General features: G+C 40.0%; 4 annotated features.

Moving 5' to 3' along the window:
- Positions 20,214 to 20,753: an enhancer, noted in NCBI's record as "OCT4-NANOG hESC enhancer chr10:110357598-110358137 (GRCh37/hg19 assembly coordinates)". NCBI's record gives its function as "activates a minimal SCP1, AML or CMV promoter by ChIP-STARR-seq in primed H9 embryonic stem cells {active_cell/tissue: H9 hESC(primed)}" and the evidence as "EXISTENCE:reporter gene assay evidence [ECO:0000049][PMID:30033119]".
- Positions 20,754 to 21,292: an enhancer, noted in NCBI's record as "OCT4-NANOG hESC enhancer chr10:110358138-110358676 (GRCh37/hg19 assembly coordinates)". NCBI's record gives its function as "activates a minimal SCP1, AML or CMV promoter by ChIP-STARR-seq in naive and primed H9 embryonic stem cells {active_cell/tissue: H9 hESC(naive and primed)}" and the evidence as "EXISTENCE:reporter gene assay evidence [ECO:0000049][PMID:30033119]".
- Positions 20,754 to 22,075: a biological region, named in NCBI's record as "P300/CBP strongly-dependent group 1 enhancer GRCh37_chr10:110358260-110359459".
- Positions 20,876 to 22,075: an enhancer, noted in NCBI's record as "P300/CBP strongly-dependent group 1 enhancer chr10:110358260-110359459 (GRCh37/hg19 assembly coordinates)". NCBI's record gives its function as "activates an origin of replication core promoter dependent on BRD2, BRD4, P300/CBP, MED14 and CDK7 cofactors, with strong dependence on P300/CBP, by STARR-seq in HCT116 cells {active_cell/tissue: HCT116}" and the evidence as "EXISTENCE:reporter gene assay evidence [ECO:0000049][PMID:35650434]".

The following is a 23,768-nucleotide window of genomic DNA, read 5'->3' on the forward strand; positions in this document are numbered from 1 at the left end:
TGCTGGACTTACAAATACCTTTAATATTCTAATGCACAAGATGGAGCTGCATGTAGGGTGATAATATTCTCTAAATTTGCATACCAAAATACAAAGAAATTTCTAGGAGCATTTAGAGAGAATTATATTTATGATCCATGGAGTGGATTTGGAGAAACACTTAAGAAAATAACCCACCAATATCCTTAGTTAATTCTTATTAAATATTTGCCTGGAGAAATATATATACTTATGGCCAACTTTTTAAAAAAAATTTGTTTTATCTCCTCTCCCCCCATCTAAATTGTTTTTGACTTTTAGCATACAACTGTAGTTATCTTACAAAGTTCACAAAGGATTACAGATGAAAAATAGGGCAAAGAACCCTCCTAAAGTTTATCAGAGGGATTGATCGAGGGTAAATGTGTCTTCAAGATTCTACAACAGATTCTCTCGGCTTATCAAGAGTTTATCTTTCTCTTTTCTTGCTACAAACCCAGTGCATTTCCTCCTTCCTCTGAAAATATGTCTTGTCACTTGTGACTTGAATGTAGACAGAAAACCTCCTAAAAACTATCTTTGCTTCTCTTCATTGTGTGGCTTTCCTTGGCTGAGGCACCCCTCAAAAATAGAAGCAGATTGTGGGTGGCTGTGGCCTTGCTTTCTGGACTGCAAAGAGGAAGGCAGCAGAGAGGGGGTATAAAATTGGCCAAGCTACCCATATATTTCTATTTCAAACTATTTTTACCTATCACAGAATATTAATTCTAGATCCTAGAGGTCACTAAGATGATCTAATCCAACTTTCACCCTTTTATGATGAAGAAACAGCATGGTTACATGACTTGTCCAATACTCACAATAAGTTACTGTTTAAACTGAAAGTAAACCTGAGGCCTCCTATCCCATCTCCCAGTTAGTGATATTTATTCACTCAGAGCCTTCTTCAGGTGGGCTGAATTCAGTCAAACTGATCAGAATGTGGTTAAAATCAGTGGGATCCAAGTCTGGTAAATCTTCAGATTCACCGTGTGAACCCAAAAGTATCTGAGGTGGATCCCAGTCCATTTGGAAAGTTTATTTTGTCAAGGTTAAGGATGCACCCATGACACAGCCTCAGGAGGTCCTGACAACTGGCACCCAAGGTGGTTGGGGCACAGCTTGGTTTTATACATTTTAGGCAGACATGAGACATCAATGAATATGTGTAACATGTACATTGGTCTGGCTGGGCGCTGTGGCTCATGCCTGTAATCCCAGCACTTTGGGAGGCCAAGGTGGGTGGATCACAAGGTCAGGAGATCGAACCATCCTGGCTAACATGGAGAAACCCAGTCTCCACTAAAAAGACAAAAAATTAGCCAGGCGTGGTGGCGGGTGCCTGTAGTCCCAGCCAGCTACTGGGGAGGCTGAGGCAGGAAAGTGGCATGAACCCGGGAGGTGGAGGTTGCAGTGAGCCGAGATTGTGCCACTGCACTCCAGCTTGGGTGACAGAGTGAGATTCTCAAAAAAAAAAAAAAAAAAGATGTACATTGGTCCAATCCAGAAAAGGCATGACAACTCAAGGCAGGGAAAGCGGCTTCCAGGTCATAGGTAGATAAGAGACAAATGGTTGCTTTCTTTTTAGTCTCTGATTAGCTTTTCACCAGACACAGAATTTACATGTGAGAGGAAGGTAGAAGAATAGTCACTTATGCCTTAGTCTGGTTTAGTGAAACAATAGGGCAGAGGAAGCAATTAGATGGTCATTTGTCTCAGGTGAGCAGAGGGATGCCTAAGTTCTGTCTGTCCTTTGTTCACAAGGAATTGCCTTGTGGGCAAATTGTGAAGGAGGTATATAGCTTTTTATATTTGTAGCTATCTTATTTAAGAATAAAATGTCAGGCAGGTTTCTCTGACGCAACTCCCAACTTGACTTTTTCATTTGGCCTAGTGATTCCCGGGTCCTGAGATTTATTTTCCTTTCACAGCTTGTATTTCTCGTACAACCATGAATTCCCATGTCTTATTCAACATTTGTGATATCTGTATCCTGGAGTTCATGTATCTCTAACCTAAAAATCTGTCCCAGTGAGTCTGAGGTCATAAAAGTTGGAGAACTCTGGAGAAGACCACGCAGTTTGAAGATTGTGAGATATGACACCAGTTGTCCTAGACTTGCCTTTATTCTATAAAAGGAAGTATAAAAGATGGGCATTTCTAGATAAAGGGTAGGACTGCTACTTTGACCATTCCTAGCTTGCCACTGCTATGTGACCTATACTAAGTTAACTTTTTTGCTGTCATATCCATTATGACAGGTAGGTTACAATGACCTTTTATTCGGGATCCAGTCAAAGCCTAATTAATTTCTAGAAGGAAAGACTGTTAACTACCCAAATATAAAAGTGTCAAAGAAGTGAAATCTATCTCTTTTCCTTATAAACAGCACATGTATTCTAAATATGAAACTTCCTTTGCAAAAATTACCACAAAGAAAGACATCAGACCTAACCGACTCCATCTTGCTTCTAACTTTAAACTGCCCTTGTTCATTCCTGGGCATAGGCTGAAGTAATCTTGGAAAGGAATTTAGTTTATAGTTTGACTCTGAAACAAAATTAATAATTGCCCTTTCCTGAAAAGACCCCCTTCCTGCCTGGGGACCAGCCTGCCTTTGCAGGACTAACAAATTAGCTACAAGATTAGAAATTACAGTTTAGGGACCATGCAGCCCCGGCTGCAAGAGTCTAAACCTCTCCAAAATGCTCCTAGAGATAACATCACTATTGTAAAACCTACGATCAATGCTTGAGACATTTTGCAGACCCTGCACCTGATGCACCAGCTGACACCTCCCAGAACAGTAATCTGGCTCAACCATTTCTGTGATCCCGCCCACGGACAAAAGACAGCAAGAAGAACTCACTTCGACCCTCTATGATTTCATCTCCAACCCGACCAATCAGCACTCCCCACTTCCCAAGCCCCCACCCACCAAACTATTCTTAAAAACTCTGATCTCCAAGGTTTTGGGGATACTTGAGTGATCATAAAACTCCTGTCTCCCACACAGCCATCTCTGAATTACTCTTTCTCCATTGCAATTCTCCTGTCTTGAGATATCAGTTCTATCTAGGCAGCAGGCAAGGTAAAGCCATTGGATGGTTACAAATATACCAAGATGATACGGAGACTTTCAAGTTATTAACAATGAAAATTCAAATTATGAAAAAAATACAGATCATGCAAAAACAAAACTTCTGATCTACACGCAGACGCAGAACCCAGAAGTAGCTTGAAACATTCGTTCAGAGGACAAAAAATTACCATGAATTCTAAAAGGATATTTTACCCTAAATAGAAATATTCTATCCCATTTCTCTGTCTTCAAGGTTAGACGTTCTCACCCATTGCTTACAAGAAAAGGACAAGTAATGTTTCTATTAGAGATAAAAAAAATGTATGTTTTAGGCACATTGTGGGGAAAATATAGCAGCTGGCCAATTATGATGAGAAAGGAATTTCTAGAAAAATGAATTTTCACTGAGGTCCCTTAGGTATTTGCATGTTGCAAGAGGCAAGTGTGCAACAATGGAAAAGGCTTTCAGATCTTGCAGGTGGCAGTAAAACCAAAACGATGAGTTTTAAACATAACAACAACACTGTAGTTAAAATCTGACTTCTAATTACTAGAGGCTTCTTATGGAATTTCCCCTTCTTTTACTGTAGGTGGAAGAGAATCCAAACTGTATTAGAAATCCTGCATTTAGAGACAGTTCAGTTTCCTGGAACTTGAGGTAAGAACAGCTTTCCTAATTGGCATCTCATCAGTCAACATTATTAGCAGCTGCCGACATTATCAAGAAACCACTCTTACTGTGTTCCCGCTGTGTGCAAGGGAATCACAGAATCAACCAAATCTTTAGACAGAATATAGTAGTAAGTTAAAAAGTATGAATTCTGCCATCAGATGTCCTGGCCTAAAAGCTGAACTCCATCATTTTACCAACTGTTTACGTCTTGGCAAGTTACTTAACCCATTTATGTCTCAGTTTAGTCATATGTCAAATGATGGTGAATATATTTCTGGTATTGAATCATTCCAAGTGTTAGATCATATAATGCATGAAGATCACTCAGCAAAGCATATGTTGTATAGTAGGGACTCAACAAAAAGACACTATTAATGTGAAGAATGTGGAACCCTAATTCCAGACTTAACATTTCTGTAATATTAGATTTTAATCCAATCAAATCATATAAAAATTATTTGAACTTTTTACGATGTGCCAAATACTTGTTTGCAAGATGAAGATAAAATAAAGTAAACATGGCACTCTTTTGCCCTCAAAAAGAACCCAATATAAGTGAGGCATGAATGCACGTGAATGGTGTCACAAATCTGTGTGTGTGATTAATTGCCAAATACTCAGAAAATAAATACCTTCAAAGGAGAAGGGACTATGAAAATTAGTGAAGGATGAGCAAATTAGTTTAATTTAGAAGTTTATACATAGAGACATATTTTAGGAGTTACAGTTTAAGCAGAAATAGAATGAGGGAAAGTATATTTTAGACCCCCTGGAGATTAATTAAACAAGAGTATTTACAATAGGCCAATATATTTAAGGAACAATGAGTTGGTCCTTTTTGATAGAGCAGACTACTTGTGCTTTGAAAAATACAGGAAAACACAAAGCTTGCACCCTGAGTGAATGGTGAAACTGGGGACTGGAGGCAGGTTTGAGCACAGTGTAAAGGAGAATTGCCCAGTGAAAGAAGGGTCAGCCTAGGGTCTCAAGGAGCTGCCCAGCGGAGACGTTGGCACAGTGAAGTCTTACTTTGGGTGGGAGGCTAATAGATGATTTTTTTGATGACATTCTAACATTCAGCTTCATGGCTCTGCTGTGTTTGTCTTGGTGAGCCAAGAGGAGGCTGTCCAACTGAAGATAACAAAGAGATAATTTCTGGCCTCTGCCCTGCCAGATGTTCAAAGTGTAACTATCAGCAAGTTCCTCTCCCCATGTCAGGATCTGACTCACTCCTCAGGATCTCTCTCATAGACTGGTTGTGAGAATTCAAAGAGCTAATTCCCTTTTCAAGTACCTTATAAGTTGTCTACGGCTATGTAAATGACAGAGTAAGGAAAACAAGACAAATTTGATAACAGCTGAGAATCAATTTTGAGAACAAAGCAGAACACAAATCCAACATTCAATCCCATTGCCCTTTCTTTCCCATCTAGCCTCAACCCTATCAATACCTCCAAGTGAAGACATCTCTCTCTAGTCTCCCTCTCCATTTGTGCTAGGAAGTGTGAAGTACTTTATATGCATCATTTCAGTTAGCTGGCACAGCTTCTTCATGAAGTAGGCTTTAGTTGCATCCCACGTTATAGATCAGAAAACAAATGTCCAAGGCCACCAAGTCTGTAATAAGCCAAGCCAGTCCAACCTAACACAGATTTATTTGATGCCAAAGTCTGTGCCACAGATCACTTTTCCAGTGAGTCATCAAGGTTATCCCACAGAGATCCTGAGGGCAGGGGCCAACTGCCCAAATACTGCTCCTTAAGACCTGGCTTTAGGGCAACCAGGGCTTCCCACTGCTATCACCTTCCCTTGAGTTATTCTTATGGCCTCCAAGGGGCCTGAATTTACCTTCTTAGTTAACAATATGTCCATTTGAATAATTAGACTAGAATGTCTCACTGCCATTGAGAAAAGAGAAGCACATATTAAATGACCCTGTGCTTATTACTGGCATGTTATGATGCCATGGAAATAGACATGATAGAATGTCCCTGAGAGCAGCTTCCAGCTGCAGCTAAGCCACTAACCTGCCATGTTCCTTCAGGCAAATAGTTAACTATTTGGGGCATTATAAAATTAGATGATGTATATGGAATAGACTTATGAGCTCTAATGCACTAAAATCCTAATTATTGTTTTTTTAACAGCAGCTGTGGTATAATGCAATAGTATAGATTAGGCTTGAATTAAAGTCACAGGGATGCCACTTCAAACAATGGGATGTTACGCAAATAAATTATATTTTCTGACCCTCAGTTTTTTAATTCTATTAAAAAGGATATAAAATACTCTTTTTACAGTGATGCTATAAAGATAATGGAAAATTTGCTTTAAACTGTACTCTACAAATCATTTTAATATATTCTAGAATTGGTTACTCTTAGTAGTTAATACATATTATTTTTTGAAATTATATTAGAAAAATAAACACATTGTTAGGGTTTAACTTGTCAAATGCTTTCAATTCTTTGGGAGGCTTTTAAGTACTCCTGTTTAAACAAATTAAATTTTTTTACAAGGGCTAATCCAAGGGCTAGAGAAGACATACAGCCTGAGATGTAAAACCCCATTGTAGTGATGCAAGTGTTAACAAGACTCAAAGAAGAGATTATATTAGTGACACAGTCCTCACTGAACAAGGGCTAGGCCAGCCCCTGTAGTTTCCCTTGGCAGGAAGCCCTAGATCTGTTTTAATCGGTCATGGCCTCTTGGCCCTTGGAAGAGCAGCTACAGAAGCTTCTTGCTGTGAGGGGTTCATATAAAGTGAGTTCTTGGAGCAAGATCAAGACCTTCTTGCAATCTGTGTTGCTTTCTCCTTTGATATTTAGCTTGAACTAGAAGTTTGCTCAATGGAGTGGCCTAGAAGCCCCTGCCCTGCATAGAGTGAATTGAAGGTGTCTTATCACTTGCCTGAAGTCTTCAGAACTTCCTGACTCCAGAAAAATAATGAGATTCACATCATTTTGAAAGGAAAGAAGTATTCTAAGAGAAAGCAGGTGGATCCCCACTGAAGAATACAGTATATGGCTTATCTTTCAAAAATGTGATAGTGGCAGAAGGCAGACAAATCCTAGGCAGACAGGAGCAGGTCCCTAGTGAAACCCCACCTTCAAACCAAAGACAGTTTAAAGCTGAAAAGCTAGGCTACAAGTCTCAGATAAATCTACAGACTGGATTGAGAAACTCTCTTCCTGTTTGGCATGGTTTCCTCTGATTGGTCCCTACCCTTCACCTATTTTGCATATACCTAACCTTCCCTAATTGTTTTTTTACACTGTTGTGCCCACCTTTGAGTGGTGCTTTTGTTTTTGCATATTCCCAAACCAATCAGCATGCACTCCCTATTCTGAGCCCATAAAAGTCCCTGGTGACCACAGGATCTCCGCTGGAGTGCAAGCCAAGCACAGCCCAGCGGGACAAATGGGGAGGGGAAGTCCTGCAGCAAAGCTGGGGCCAAGCAAGGACAGGACAGGGGCGTCGCTGGCCAGAGGTCTCCGACTGGCAAAGTGGCTGAGAAAAATCCTGCATCAAATGGTTACTAGGTATCCTTTGTCAATCTCTGTGTTTTATGTTTCCCTGTATAATGGCCTGCTTACTTCCTCTCACATTTGCATTCTGGTCTTTCTTCTTGCAGCTGGGGCCATGAGTACAGCCTACAAACACATGTTCTGTAAGATTTAAGGACCAGAGGATAAAGGGTTCAGAACAACTCTTTAGGGTTCAAGTGATAGAAATCCAAATCACACTGATAGGATTTGTGTGGTAGGCTGAATAATGCTGTGAGCCCTACCAAAGATGCCCATGTCTTAATTCCTACAAACCTGTTATCTTATGTGGTAAAAGGTATGTTGCAAATATGATTAATTGAAGGATCATGACATGAGGAGATTATTCTGGATTAACCAAGAGGCCCAAAGCAATCTTAAGGTCTTTATAAGGAGACAGAAAGGCCAGAGACAGAACAAGAAAAAACGTTACACTGATGGCTTTAAGAAGGGGCCATGATGAAATAAATGTGGGCAATCTCCAGAAGCAGAGAAAAGCAAATGTAGGGGACCAAGACCCTTCCCCAATAAAGGTTCACTGAAAAATCACTGACTTGAGGCAGATTGATTAATAGAAGGAAAGACATGTACATTTATTTAATATGTATACACAGGAGTCTTGAGAATGATGACCCAACCTCCCAATGAGGCACAGAATCTTATATACCATCTTAAAGTAGTACAGAAAGGATGTTGGCTCAGAGCATGGCTGAAAACAGGTTACACTGGTAAATCAGTTTTAGTGGCAAGACAAGTTATGGGAAGGAGAAAAGAAGAGGCTTGGCTAGCAGAGAGGGTCTTATTATGTAGGTGAAGCCTCACAAGTAGCAGCCCTCAGACAGAATAAATGCTAAATATTGATTTCAGATCTTTAAAGGTGTCAGACTCACAGTTCAACTCTCCTAGATTCAGGAAATGCCTAAAAAATGAGGCATGGATGTATTAATGAAAATTCTCTATAGACGCAAATTTTCCTCTACCAAAGGCAGCTTCGCAGGGCCACCTCATTTTGCTGGTACTGCAATAGCCATTTTAAAATATGTGAAAGAAATATATTTGGGGAAAATAGTTTGATTCCCTTCACAAAGAAACAGATTTTTTCAAGAGCCCCCACAAGGAACCAACTCTGCCAACAGCTTGACTTCAGCTTGAAATCAGACTTCTGATCGCCAGAGCTATAGAAAGTAAACTGGGGCTGGGCGCAGTGGCTCATGCCTGTAATGTCAGCATTTTGGGAGGCCAAAGTGGGCGAATTACTTGAGGTCAGGAGTTCGAGACCAGCCTAGCCAACATGGAGAAACCCCATCTCTACTAAAAATACAAAAATTAACCGGGCGCAGTGGTAGGCACCTGTAGTCCCAGCTACTCAGGAGGCTGAGGCAGTAGAATCGCTTGAACCTGGGAGGCGAAGGTTGCAATGAGCTGAGACCATGCCACTGCACTCCAGCCTGGGTGAATAACCAAGATTCTGTCTCAAAATAAATAAATAAATAAAATAAAATAAAATAAAAAATTAAAAAAAAGTAAATTGGTGTTGTTTTGAGCCACTAAGTTCTTGGTAATTTGTTACAGCGGCAATCAGAAACTGATATACTAACTGGAAAAGGGAGATTTATGTGCTCACATAACTGAAAGCTGTTTGTTACATCAGGTAACTAGTCAGGCTTGAGCGGGGCTCCCCCTAGGGTGTAGTGGGTACTAGGAATGTCAGGTGATGGGCAGGTGGTTGTCACACTGCCTCTCTAAAATAAGAATTAGTTGCAGCTAGCGCCAACATAAAGCAGTTCCCCAATAGATAAACACACATGAAATAGGTAATTGGCAGCTATCAGGAATTGGGTGAGTGGCCTCAAGCTTGTGCATTAAGAGGCAAAATAGTGGAGTATAACTTTCCAGGAGCATTCCACCGGAAAAGGGAAGAATGCCTCAGGTGAGCACGCATGCAACTCCAGTAAACACACTCGGCAGGCTCACCTCCCAGGCACTAGTAGGCCACCGCACATGTGGGTGGCTCACCCTAAAGGAAGAATCAAGGGAAAAGTACAAAACAGTGGAAGTCAGTCACATATAAAATCCGAGGTTCAAGGTCAAATGGGGCACTTAATTTCCAAGATGCCTGCTTGGGCCTCTTCCAAGTGTTCTTTCCTTTCTTTCATTCCTTCTCTAAAGCTTTCTAATAAATGTCCACTCCTGCTCTGCTCTGACACATGCCTAAGTGGTTTTTTTTTTTTTTTTTTTAGATGGAGCCTCATTCTGTTGCCTGGCTGGAGGGCACGGGCACAATCTTGGCTCACTCTGCCTCCCGGGTTCTCCTGCCTCAGCCTCCCGAGTAGCTGGGACTACAGGTGCGCCACAACCACTCCCAGCTAATTTTTGTATTTTTAGTAGAGACAGCATTTCACCATGTTGGCCAGGATGGTCTCAATCTTTTGACCTTGTGATCCACCCGCCTTGGACTCCCAAAGTGCTGGGATTACAGATGTAAGCCACCACACCTGGCCCAGTCTCTTTTTCTACCTTATGCCCCTCAGTAGAATTCTTTTTTCTGAGGAGGCAAGAACTGAGGTAGCTGCAGACCTATACAGATTCACCACAGGTAAAGTGAATAACTTCCACCACTAACACCATGAGTACCTTGTTCAGGTATGGCTGGATTCAAATTTGCACAAGATATCGCCAAAAAGCTTTCTCTGTATCTTAATTCTGTTTTCTCTGACAGGCATTCTCCACAGAGAAGCCTAGAACCTCTACGATGACTTTCTTATAAACGTAAGCCCTCTGTAAATGTAATGTTTCTTTCTTTGCAACATGTACAAAAGGCCTAATAACAATTTTAATTGACCAAATTTCAGTCATGTGTCCATTTATCACTGTGGAGGAGGAGGGTTTGATATGGTAATTGTGAGTTCTGGGTCACATGCACACTTCTGAATCTGAAGAGAGATGGGTTCAACCCACTGAAACCACAGGATCTCAAGGCAGGAATAGTTTCCTAGGAATATTAGGGTGCTGATATCAGAAGAATGGAGTATGGCAATACAAAGTGGGCAAAATCCACCCAAGCCACTACTATCAGCCTGTGGCCAGCCTTGTGTGTCACTGATCTCTCTGATAGTAGAAAAAGTCAGTGTGTTATGACGATAAATTTCTCTCTAATTCAATAGTCTGAGGCAGGTGTTCCTGCTTGGGTAGATTTTTCTTTGTTTGTCGTTGATGTAAAACACTCATCTCCAGGTGGCATCTCAGGTTATTGGGTGACTTCCATATTGTGGCTCTACTGCCCAAGTCCACAGAGTTCTTTCCTATCAGACAATAGATGGTTTTGTCTGATAGGACAAGAGTTTTGACAAAGATATGTATCAAGAGTTAGTTCCTCATGAGATATGTATCTCCTAAATTCCCAGCAATAAATAACAATCTTCCTTTAGCCCTTCCAATGAAACATCTTGGAAAGTTCTAAAATCTAGTCAGTACATGTATGGTTGTACAAATTATGCCATTTGTTTATGAATGTTTAAATGACAGTAATTCACTCTGGCCAGATGCTCTGCAATTACAAGCATATTACAGAATATACTTTACCATATCACAGTTGTGTCCTTATACATGGTCCAGCTCCTAGTATAAAACAAATTATTCTCCAGCCTGAGCAGATCTCACAGCCTCATACTACAGGAAACTGAAGGGTCATGAAAAAGTAAATGAAAATCAGGTGATGACAGAAAAAATAGGGGAAGTGCAAGAAGTAAATGGAAGAGGGACATTAACGGGGCCTTGAAAAGAGCATGCATTTTCATTAATAATTTTTGATGCGCCAGCATGCTGTTATTGAGCTAATGGAATTCCTTGGATATGTGGTTTACGGACAATACTGTGCAGCGACATTTGTAAAACAACTCAAGACAGTGGGTACTGAGTGGCAAAAGGTAGGTACTGATTCTCAGAGGTTAGGACTTCTGCAGAGGGAGAGATCCTTCCACAGAACTTAGAGGAAGTGCCCACTAGAGAACTTAGAGGAAGATTCCTGGGGAAGTGAACACTGAGTGGAGCGTCAAAGGATGGGGAGAATATAAGAAATAGAGTCAAGGATGGAGGGATATTTAGATAGGAATAATAGGCCAGGCATGGTATAGCTCATGCTTGTAATCTCAGCATTTGTGGGAGGTCAAGGCAGGAAGATCCCTTGAACCCAGGAGTTTCAGACCAGTCTGGGTAACAAATAACACAAAATGAACAAAATTAGCTGGACATGGTGGCGTGTACCTATAGTCCCAGCTACTCAGGAGGTTGAGATGGGAGGATCACTTGAGCCTGGGAATTTGAATCTGCAATGAGGCAATGAGAGTGAGCTGAGATTGCCCCACTGCACTCCAGACTGGGTGACAGGGGGAGACCCTGTCTCAAAAACAAGCAAACAAACAAAAAAATACAAATAAAAGGAGGTCTAAATAACAGAATTTGTAGTATACAAGCTTAGATTGGCTGGGAGATTAAGAGTGGTGGGAGAATGAAGAAAAACAGAAAAGTAGGTGAGACAATAGAGAAAAATGATAACTAGATAAGGAATAAGGATTAAAAAAGAAAGGGAGAAGTAAAGAGAATAAAGGAGACAAAAACCACAAACACATTTTTAGATGTTCCCAAATTTCAGATGTTCATGTCCATGTTGGTCTCAGAAATCCTGGCTCTGCCAAATAGTTGAGCACTCCTTCTGGGTTTACCAGGTGAGATGTGGGAAGACTCTCCCAAGCTGACCTGGTTGTGATGTCTCAAATCATAGTTCAGAGTGCAGTAAGATCTATCTGCAAGTCTAAGTATCATCAAGTGAAATGAGACCATTGAAACAGGGGAGGGATCTGTAAATTCATTCAGTGATTGATGGTAGAGTTTCTGTATCAGATAACATTTCCTTTGAAATTTTCTACTACTTTTTTATAGTAAAATGTCTAATATTTAAATACTGGCCATGACAGTGAAATTTTCTTCTGGCCCCAAATGAAATAAGGTAAGAGAGGGTTTTTTGCTTTGTCTGTATACTGGTTACTAATGCATTTAACAAATTGGTTACTGTTTTTGAGATTCACCTGTAGTCTAATTATCAAAATTTACATCAGTAAAACAAGACAAAACAAAGACTGTACCTATAATACATCTCCTCCATGATAACCAAACACCACAATATGGTCTTGTCAGGAGTTTTGCATTGTGGCAATTAAGCTAAAATGAAACTATGTTTCTCAGAATTCCCTCCCTGTAGGCTCTGTGTTAGGATTATTCACAAAAGAAGTTGCGTATGATTTGGAAGACAGATATAAAGGAATAGTGATGTTTACACTCGGAAATCTGTGTGAAGTCAGGCAATATTGCAGTTCATGTACACTGTTACAGATCTGCTGGTTCAATATGAAGAGAAAGACTCTCAAACTATACAAGGGTATTTGGGATTTTAACCATATGGGTGGTTGAACCACGTAGTATAGGAATTCATTTATTCATTTATGCACTGTCTGAGTTAAATAATTTTTACTGAGTACCTATTCAGTGAAAGACACTGTGTTCGGTTCTCATGGGAAGAAGGGGAAGAGTACCAGGACATCCTTGACACAGTTCCTGGCTTCATGTTCCTTACCATCCAACAGAAGAGAAAAATGAACGTCCCTGGAACAAAATGATAAATACGCGGTCTAAGTCTTATGAAACATACAGACCATGAAGTACAAGATTTCATTATTGGTTTTTTTCTTGCAATTAATTTGTATGAAGAACCCACCATATGCCTGTTGCTGTCTCACAGGTCTGGGCTCCTAAGGGTGTGAATCTATGGAAGGCAGGACAGTCACCTTCAAATTGCCGAGATGCTATGAGGTGATGAAGCAAAGCCTCCGTCTGAGTGAAGCTCCCTGAAAAGGGAACATGTGAACTGGGGAAGGATTTTGATAGGCAAAAGTGGAAGAGAGAACACCTCAAATAGAAGGACTGACCAAAGTAAAGGTTAAGTGTAAGACAGGGCTATGCACAGTACGAGCTGAAAGCAGAAGAGGCAAAAACTGTACATGTGGAATCTAAAAAAGTCATAGAAGCAGAGAGTAGAATGATGGTTACTAGGAACTAGAAGGAAGGAGGAATAGGGAGGTGTAGGTCAAAGATTATAAACTTTTAATAATAAGATGAGTTATGATGCAGGGAGCTTATAGCATGGTGATTGTAGTTAATAAAACTGTTTTGTTTACTTGAAATTTGTCAAGAGAATGGATTTTAAGTGTTCTTACCACTACACACATACATAACATGGTAATTGCGGTAATGGATGTATTAACTAATTTGATTGTGATGATCATTTTATAATGTATAAGTATCCCAAATCACCCCATTGTACTCCTTGAATATATAAAATTTTTATTTGTCAACTGCACCTACATAAAGCTGAAAAAAAATAGAAGATTTAAAATATAGCAGCAAGAAAAGGAGATTGGGGTAAGAAAATGAGGGGGCATTAAGGTCCCGGTTTTTGCCTTTACAAAGTGATTTCAGTTGATGTTCTTCTATATGTTTAATAATGACATTTTAATAGTCTTAGGAACCCTATGTGATTTGATCTAGGTAATGACTCTCAGTAAGGTTTGATCTAAATAATGACTCACCCTCAGGCTCCTAGACTGGCCAGTGGAAAATAGTTCCTCATTTACTTCAGTGCCTTGAAGCCAAACTGTCTCCTCCCAGGATAGGAGACTTTTCTGCAGGGAGACAATTGTTTAGGATCTCACATTAACTCCATATGTCTGGGCCACATTTGAATGAGGAAAGGCAGAAAGAAGTACAATTTCTGCGATGAGTACAAGACTTTGCTATGAACCAACAGGAATGAAGGAAAAAGTCCTGCTGCATCTCCTTTCAAAAGATGAGACTGTCTGTTTTCTCTCAATTTGGCCAGTCTGTAGATGGGTACATGTCCTTGTCTGGGTAAGTTGTTCTTGAGAGCGTTTACAAATTCTCCATCCTATCACATTTTAATTCAAAACCTGATTAACTCAGCTAATTTGCTCTCAGTGGTAAGACAGGAAAATTCTAAAACCCTAACTTTAATATATAAATTCACAATAGTGATCATTAATCTCAGAAACTACCAACTCAGGAAAAAATAACATCATAAGGAGACAAGCTTCTAAATAATATTTTTCTTCTTTTGTTTTATTGAATATTGAGTATAAACTTTTGGGGAGAAAATCTGAACATAAAGATCAACTTGAAAATGAACATAAAATCATGCACAGTTCCTCCACCTAAAAATAACATCCATAGACATTTTTGTGTAGATGAGTTACTGTAACATCTATCTATACACATATTTCCTAATAAAAATACTTGAATACGATGCTGTAATATTTCTAACTTTTTTTTTTTTTTTGAGATGGAGTCTCACCCCACTGTCAGGCTGGAGTGCAGTGGCACCATCTCGGCTCACTGCAACCTCCGCCTGCCGGGCCCAAGCAATTCCCCTGCTTCAGCCTCCGGAGTAGCTGGGACTACAGGCATGTGTCACCACGCCCGGCTAACTTTTTTTGTATTTTAGTAGAAACGGGGTTTTACCATGTTGGCCAGCATGGTCTGGATCTCCTAACCTTGTGATCCACCCGCCTCGGCCTCCCAAAGTGCTGGGATTACTTGCATGAGCCACCAGGCCCGGACTATTTCTAACTTTTTTAACAGATTAAAATTGACATATTACCACATTAATGACTTTACTTCTACAGAATTGGGCATGCATTCAAATAAATTAAGTTTAAATATGAACTGTCAGATAAATAGGATAGTTTCACACTTTGAAAGCTGCAGCAGGTTAGGTGGCAATAGTGCCTCACTCAGCTTGACTTATTTCTCCACATCTCCCTGGGATAACGGCATCAAGAAGTCTTTCCTCGGGTATAACAACCCTATTTTAATGACACAACCTCTGATGAGCAATAGCTTTCATCATTTTCAGAAAAAGATAGAGACAAACAAATGACAAGCAAATGTCTGAGACAAACAAATGACAAACAAAGAACAAAAAGGAATGAAACTCAAGTAACTTTAAACAGCAAACTCCTGGAGGAATAAAGGGGATGCCAGATAAGAAACAAATCCTTTTATTGCACTATTATCTTTCTTAAATGTAGTTGCTCTCTTCATGAATACTCTCTTTGTCTGGGGACATTAGAAGAAGAACCACAGCTCTAAAAGGCTGGCTGCCAGAGAGATTATTAGAGGGAACATTGCTGGTGCTAGACATTAACTTCGCACTCAAATAGCCCATGATTAAAAATAATGCTTAAAATTTATGGGACTTCCTCTAGTGTGGAAGCTACCCTACTAGGCTATAGATTTTAATATCATTTGGGTTTTGCTTTATATGAGAGTAATAGCTACATTCCTGCAAAGTTGGGGGTGATTTAGATTTTGAAAACTGAATTCTATTTAAAATGCACTGTGATAACTCAATCTTTGAAGGAACCCTGCAGTCTTTGATTCTGTGAATAACCATGACTCTGAAAACCTTGTTGAATTATTTTTGCAAGTTCAGATTTTCATATCTCTGAAGAGGAGTCAATGGTTTTATCTCAGGTCAATTTTGTTTATTAATATTTATGGGACTCTTTGTTTTAAATGGTGAATCTTTGTTTCTTTTTGCCGGATACTAGGTTGATTTCCTGAAATGTGATTATTTTCAGTTGGCTTCTTTATTAGTGTCATGCTGAATGTTTCATATATGAAAAATATTATGGTATATTATATTTGAGGAAAGTGGAGGAAAAATGGGCTAATTAACACATAATATTTATCATGGCCTGAGAACAGAACAAAAACTCTGTTATAATTACAGTAGAATTACCCTATTTCTAGTAATAGAATTACTCCTCTTCCAGAAGAAGAGGAGATGTTCATATAAAAAATACATCAGGGACACTTGCAGGGGGTTAAGAACTGACTACGCAAAGGCATGCACTGAAGTCATTGACATTTACATTATATTTGCTTCTGGTGGAAAAATAGGATAAATTTAAAAGAATAAAAAGGATAAAAAAAGAATGCAAGTCTTTCAGCGAAGATAATTTATTTGTTAAATTAGCTATTTATAAACTGGCAGTCACATTTATCTGTAGAACAAACTTTAAAACAGAGGAAACAATTTTAGTTTTACTTTACTATTAGTTTGGAATTGTGCTACCATAAGTATCAGATTTCCACTGAAATGGGTTTCATTTTCCACCCTCCCATTATGAAAAATGTAAAGTATACATAAGAGCATGAAGTTCTAACAAAGCCTGCTTCATTATGCTTCCACATTCAATTCATGCAACTACTAAATTCTCCCAGGAAATGTTCTCAAGATACTATGGTCCACATCCATCATTATGTGCTGAAAAAGCAGGAAATATGCCTATTAAAGAAAACATTCGTGTGGACAATACATTCCCCAGCAGCAATACTTATAATAACACCGCCCCCACCGCCACCATCCCTGACACACACACACACACACACACACACACACACACACACACACAGCAGCTGCATTCAAGAAGAAAAAGATGAGCTGCTGGCTAAGAGTCGGTTGCAGTTGTGCCCAAGGTCATGTGTCCTTCCTTCCTTTCTGCATGATTTGCATTGTCAGCTACCAGAGGAAGACAAGAGCTGGTAGCAGCAGGCTTTTTATGTTAGTGTGAGACACTAACACGCACCCAGCTGACATGTTTGAAGCTAAACCTGCATCCAGATCGATTGTGAGTCTTCCCTGACCCCCCCAGCCTATGTGAAATCCCTTAATGCTGTGCTTCTCTCCTTTAACACACTCATAACGGTAACAAATGTACATTTAGTATTATGAATATTCTATTACTTCTGTCTCCAGTCTATCCTATAAGCTCTGTGAGTTTAGGGATCTTGTATTTTGTTCACCTTTGTGAACCCTGTCAGTCAGAGGACTGATAGGGGCTGTAAAGGCAAATGCTGGGAATAATCAATTGCTTCAAGACAAGTGAGCTTGGACTCTGAGAGTCTAGCATGAAGACAGGGTCAGAACAGAGCAGGGGGTCTATACCAGGTCCTCAAACAGGACAGCTGACTGAACATTTTAGCCTAGAAGCTGGGCAGACCTAACCCCAGGAAAAAAACAATGCCCAACCTTCAGGGGCATGGGCTGCCTAGAACCTAATATTATGGCAGAATTTGAGCATCGCTGTGATTTGAGATTCATTGTATCTTAAATGCTCTATACGTCAAACAAAGTTTTAAATTGACGAACAAACTGTATATATTCATGGAATTGTGTATTTGATATCCCTTACTGAATAATCATTGCCAAATACAAGTATGGGCATCAAGAGGATAGGCTGGTAGACTGATGTGATATTGAAAAGCTTTGATTACAGAAGTATTACCCAGGGTAATACAATGTCCTTTTCATATTCAGCCTCAACAGATGTGTCCAGTAAAATGAAATAGAAGCCATGGAAGCTGCTCAGGGCTTACTCTGCTCTGGCTTCCTTGGGTTCATGGGGCAGAGAAACCCCTAGAGATGACTTTATGACTTTAATATCTTCTATTGATATGTCTTCTTTTTTAAGAGAAAGTTAAAGGGTTGAGACAGGGAGGTAGTGAGGAAAAATAATTTTATGTCTGCTTACATGGAACATCATTCTGCACATATTATATGTATTTATTCTGAGCAAGCTGCCAATAGACATTAAAGAAAGATCTGCTTATCATGTTATGAAGAAAGAGAAAAGCATGAAGGAAAAACAAAAAGGAACAAGGCTCTCCCTCTGCACCATGTGCGTAATGAGGATAGAGATGAAGGGACTTAGCCTTCAGCCTGTACCTGTCCACCTCCAGTGTTCTCACTCAGTGAAATGAGTACTACAGTGGGCAAAAGATGTTAATCAACATCTTATCAAAGAGAAACAAATAGCCAATACACCTATGAAAAAGTACTTAAAGTTATATTAGTCTTTAGAAAAAAGTGAGTATTAAAATCACAATGAGATACTGCTTCACATGGACAATAATGGTTAAAATAAAAAGACATCTGTGTTGAAGATGACGTGGAAAAACTGGAAACGTCTTGTCAAAATGTAAAATAGTGCAGCCATTTTGGTAGTCTCTTAAAAATTTAAATATTAACTTACCATATTACTCAGCAATTTTCCTCTCGATATCACTCTAAGAGAAATGAAATCTTACGTTTTCATGAAGATTTCTACATGAATGTTCACAACTACATTATTCCAAATAGCCTAAAAGTGGAAGTAATGCAAATGGCCATCAATTGATGAATGCATAAAGTGTGATGTATCTATAAGGTAGAATGCTACTCAGCAATAACAAGAAATAAAAGGCTTATAGAAGAACAATACAGATCAATCTCAAAAAAAGCTGCTGTAACTGATTGAAGCCAGATGCAAAAGAGCTCTTATTTTAAGAGGACATGCATATAGAACATCCATAAAAAGAGGCATCTGTAGAGACAAAATGTAAACAGTGGTTATCTGGGGCCAATGCTGACAATGGACACTGAATGCAAAAAGGTATTAAGGATCTTTTTGGGATGATAGAAATGTTCTAAAATGGAATTGTGGTGAAACTAACAGAGCTCTTCAAATTTTTTAAAAAATGATTGAATTGTACCTTATAAATGGGAGTATTTTATGGAATGAAAATTATAGTTTAAAAAGCATAAGATTTAAGAAAATAACTGACTCATAATTCAACCGTTCATGAAATCAGAAATGAATTATTTTTCTACCTAGACCAAACTGAAGCTGAGACAAAAATACGTGCTAAAGATATTTAAATGTAAAATAATATATGCACACTTCCTACTCCTATAACGCTACATATATTTAAAATAGTGAGGATGTTTTTGTAATTTTTTGATGGCTTTTGCTTTGAATTTTTAGGGCAAAGTAACAAAATCACTTTCATGTTTAAAAAGTGACTCCTGTTCTTTTTCATGCAATTCTACCATATATCAACATCGTTATCAAATTCAATGGTAATTATATATATTAAGCTAACACAGTATACAGCCCTTGGAACATGCTCAGCAATGCCTGTGAATCCAATGTAAACACTTATGTGACCATTAAACATCCTTTCCAACATCTTCACCAAGGAAGTATTTCCAAAGATCAGAAACTCACTACTTCCTACTCATTTCATTTCACTGCTCTCTGAATCTTAGAGCAATGTATTCGAGTTTCTGGTGAGTAACTTTACTTGCATGACTTAGAGGAGTGCTATGCAATAGAACTTCCAGTTATGACATAAATGTGTGGTAATCTACGCTGTCCAACACAATGATCAACGCGAGGGAAATGTTGCCGTGGAGGACTTGAAGTTTGGCTAGTGAAACTGAGGTCTTAAAGTTTTAATTTTATTCGCTTTTAAATCATTTTAAGTTTAAATAACCACATCTGGCAAGGGAATGCCATATTGGAAAGCACAGGCCTAGAGGCTCATCCAATTTAACTGACTCAAGAAAACTTAACTCATTATCTTCCTTAACAAACCTGCTTCTCCTCTACTTGTATTCCCTATCTCAAGAAATATTACAATCACTATCCAGTTGGCCACTCCAGAAATCTAGAAAGAAACCACCTCAGAATTACCCTCTGCACCCAGTCAGTCAAGAAGTTCTATAAAACCTAGATTCTGTTTTTGTAAAATACATATTTTTTTTATTTCAATGCCTTTGGAGTATGTGGTTTTTGGTTACATGAATGAATTGCATAGTGGTGAAGTCTGACATTTTAGTGCACCTGTCACCTGAGAATTGTAAGCTACACCCAATATGTATCCCTCAACCCCCTACCCTGTACCTTCTGAATCTCCAGTCTATTATATCACTCTGTATCCCTTTGTGTACCCATAGCTTAGCTCCCACTTATAAGTGAGAACATATGTATTTGGTTTTCCATTCCTGAGTTACTTCACTGAGAATAATGTGAAGACTACATTCTAAGTGGTCCTTTATTTGTTGCCTGACCTCTGCATTTTACTACTCCTGCATTTTTCATGCCTCTTTATTTCTTATCTGATTTTACGTAATTCCATTTTGTCTCCCAGTCACTTGTCTCATTGGCCTACACTCATGTATTCACATGACTGCCACAGTCAGCTTTTCAAGCATGTCTGACAATGCCACACCACTGCTCTAAACCCTCTGTGCCCTCCACTGCATTCTGGACATAATCAGGATTCCATTTGATGTTGTGCATCGTCTGGCCCCTTCCTGTCATTCCAGTGCCTTTGTTATTACACAGGTGTGTAGGGGTTCAGTCAGGATGGTGGGAGAAATTGCAAACTAAACAAAAACCTTCTTGGAAGGCTGGAAGGTTTTTGCAAAAGCCTCAGGATAGAGTTATGGCTGAAGGCAGCTTAATCCTCTTTGAGCTATAACAAGGGTAATTAACATAGGAATGTAGAGGAGTCTATCTAACTAGCTTGTTTACTCATATGGTCCTAAGACTAACTTTTGACCATCTGCAGGTACATGATTGCTTTCTACTCAGGGGTGTTGGCAATGGTAATTACCTTCTAGTGGTGTTTACTTGAGACCTTTTGTCATTTAATGTGTGCTGAATAAATGCCAGCAGGGCCAGGGAGTCAAGGCCATGGCTGCTAAGCTTTACAGCACTGTCCTTGGAATCTGTAAGTGGCCTGGATGCTCAGCCAGACTGACAGGCATAATATCTGTGTAAGTGTACGTTATTCATCCACTCTTGGGTCAGGGTCTGTGGGACAGACTCCCACATAGGTGTACTTTCTCTGCATCTCTCTGCATTTGCACGAGCTGTCCCCTTACATTATACTAAAAGCTATCTTTTATCTTATTAAGGACATGCTTATAAAGAAAGCAGAGCCCACAGGCAGCAAGAGCAGGTGCTCTGGATCCTGACAGTCTGGTTTGAAAAGTGGAGCTCACCACTCAGTCTCCCTAATCTTCCACTTCCTTACCTATAAAAGTGGGATAATAAAATCACCTATTCCCCTGGAGTTAATGAGATGATATCTAAAAAACATGTACACTCTGTTTGAGACTAAGTAAACATTCCACAAATGTTTGCTGTCAGGCCTCTGACCCCAAGCTAAGTCATCATATCTCCTGTGACCTGCAAGTCCAGATAGCCTGAAGCAACTGAAGATCCACAAAAGAAGTAAAAATAGCCTTAACTGATGACATTCCACCATTGTGATTTGTTCCTGCCCCACCCTAACTGATAGGATATATTATCCCCCATCCTTAAGAAGGTACTTTGTAATATTCTCCCCCACCCTTAAGAAGGTACTTTGTAACATTCTCCCCGCCCTTGAAAATGTACTTTGTACACCTATTCCAAACCTATAAGAACTAATGATAATCCCATTCCCCTTTGCTGACTCTCTTTTCAGACTCAGCTGCCTGCACCCAGGTGAAATAAACAGCCTTGTTGCTCACACAAAGCCGGTTTGGTGGTCTCTTCACATGGACCCATGTGACATTCGGTGCCGTGACTCAGATTGAGGGACCTCCCTTGGGAGATCAATCCCCTGTCCTCCTGTTCTTTGCTCCGTGAGAAAGATCCACCTACAACCTCGGGTCTTCCGTCCGGCTTACAGTTTCATTTCGCGATTAGCCCTCCCCCAGCTGCCTAACAATTTCCTCTTGAAGAGGTGGCTGGAGCTAAAGGCATAGTCAAGTTTAACGCTCCTTTTTCTTTATCCGACCTCTCCCAAATGAGTTAGTGTTTAGGCTCTTTTTTATCAAATATAAAAACCCAGCCCAGTTCATGGCTCATTTGGCAGCAACCCTGAGAAACTTTACAACCCTAGACCCTGAAAGGTAAGAAAGCCATCTTATTCTCAATATGCATTTTATTACTCAATCTGCTCCCGACATTAAATAAAGCTCCAAAAATTAGATTCCAGCCCGGAAACCCCACAACAGGACTTAACCTCGCCTTCAAGGTGTACAATAATAGAGAGGAGTCTCAATTATTTGCCTCTGCTGTGAGAGAAACCCCAGCCACATCTCCAGCACACAAGAACTTCAAAATGCCTAAGCCACAGCGGTCAGGCATTCCTTCTGGACTTCCTCTCCCAGCATCTTGCTTCAAGTGCCTGAAATCTGGCCACTGGACCAAGGAATGTCCGCAGCCTGGGATTCCTCCTAAGCCGAGTCCCGTCTGTGCAGGACCCCACTGGAAATCGGACTGTCCAACTCACCTGGCAGCCACTCCCAGAGCCCCTGGAACCCTGGCCCAAGGCTCTCTGACTGACTCCTTCCCAGATCTTCTCGGCTTAGTGGCTGAAGACTGATGCTGCCTGGTCATCTCAGAAGCCTCCTGGACCATCACAGATGCTTCGGGTAACTCTTACAGTAGAGGGTAAGTAGGTCCCCTTCTTAATCAATATGGAGGCTACCAACTCCACATTACCTTCTTTTCAAAGGCCTGTTTCATTTGCCTCCATAACTGTTGTAGGTATTGACGGCCAGGCTTCTAAACCTCTTAAAACTCTCCAGCTCTGATGCCAACTTGGACAACATTTTTTTTATGCACTCCTTTTTAGTTATCCCCACCTTAACTGAGTGATTAACCTTGTGAAATTCCTTCTCCTGGCTCAGAAGCTCCCCCACTGAGCACCTTGTGACCCCCGCCCCTGCCTGCAAGAGAAAAATCCCCTTTGACTGTAATTTTCCACTACCCACCCGAATCCTATAAAACAGCCCCACCCCTATCTCCCTTCACTGACTCATTTTTCGGACTCAGCTTGCCTGCACCCACATGAAATAAACAGCCTTGTTGCTCACACAAAGCATGTTTGGTGGTCTCTTCACATGGACGTGCATGACATTTGCTACTGTGATTAATATTTCTGACTTTTCCACCTAATAAATTTCTTTTTATATGTCAATGTTCAGATACCAAATTTTGAGTATGTAGAAAAAACTCAAGTGTTTTTCCTCTACTCTCACTCAACACTCAATACAGAACACTTCTGTGACCCTGATGTCTAGGGGTGTTGCTCACATTTCAAGCAATTCTCCAGCAGATTTTCCAGGAGACATCAGCTGGGTGTCCTTGAGTTCCATTTAATTTAGATACCGTCTACCTAGAGATAGCATCAGATCCCAAAGGCTAAGTGCTCAGTCCCAAAAGATGGCCCCTCAGTTCAGATCCTGGTTCCAAGTCCTGGCCTCCTGAAATTCTGATGAACCAGCTACAAATTTGGGTCCCCACAACCCTTCCTAGGTTAGATTAATTTGCTAGAGTAGCTCACAGAACTCAGGGAAATATTTTACTTACATTTACCTCTTTATTACAAAAGTTATTTAAAAGGATAAAAAGGAACAGCCAGGTGAATAAATATGTAGGAGGAGGTCTGGAAGGGTCCTGAGCACAAAAGCTTCTGTCCCCCTGGAGTTGGAGGT

This window comes from Homo sapiens, chromosome 10 (assembly GCF_000001405.40).
Source record: "Homo sapiens chromosome 10, GRCh38.p14 Primary Assembly".
Taxonomy (NCBI): Eukaryota; Metazoa; Chordata; class Mammalia; order Primates; family Hominidae; genus Homo; species Homo sapiens.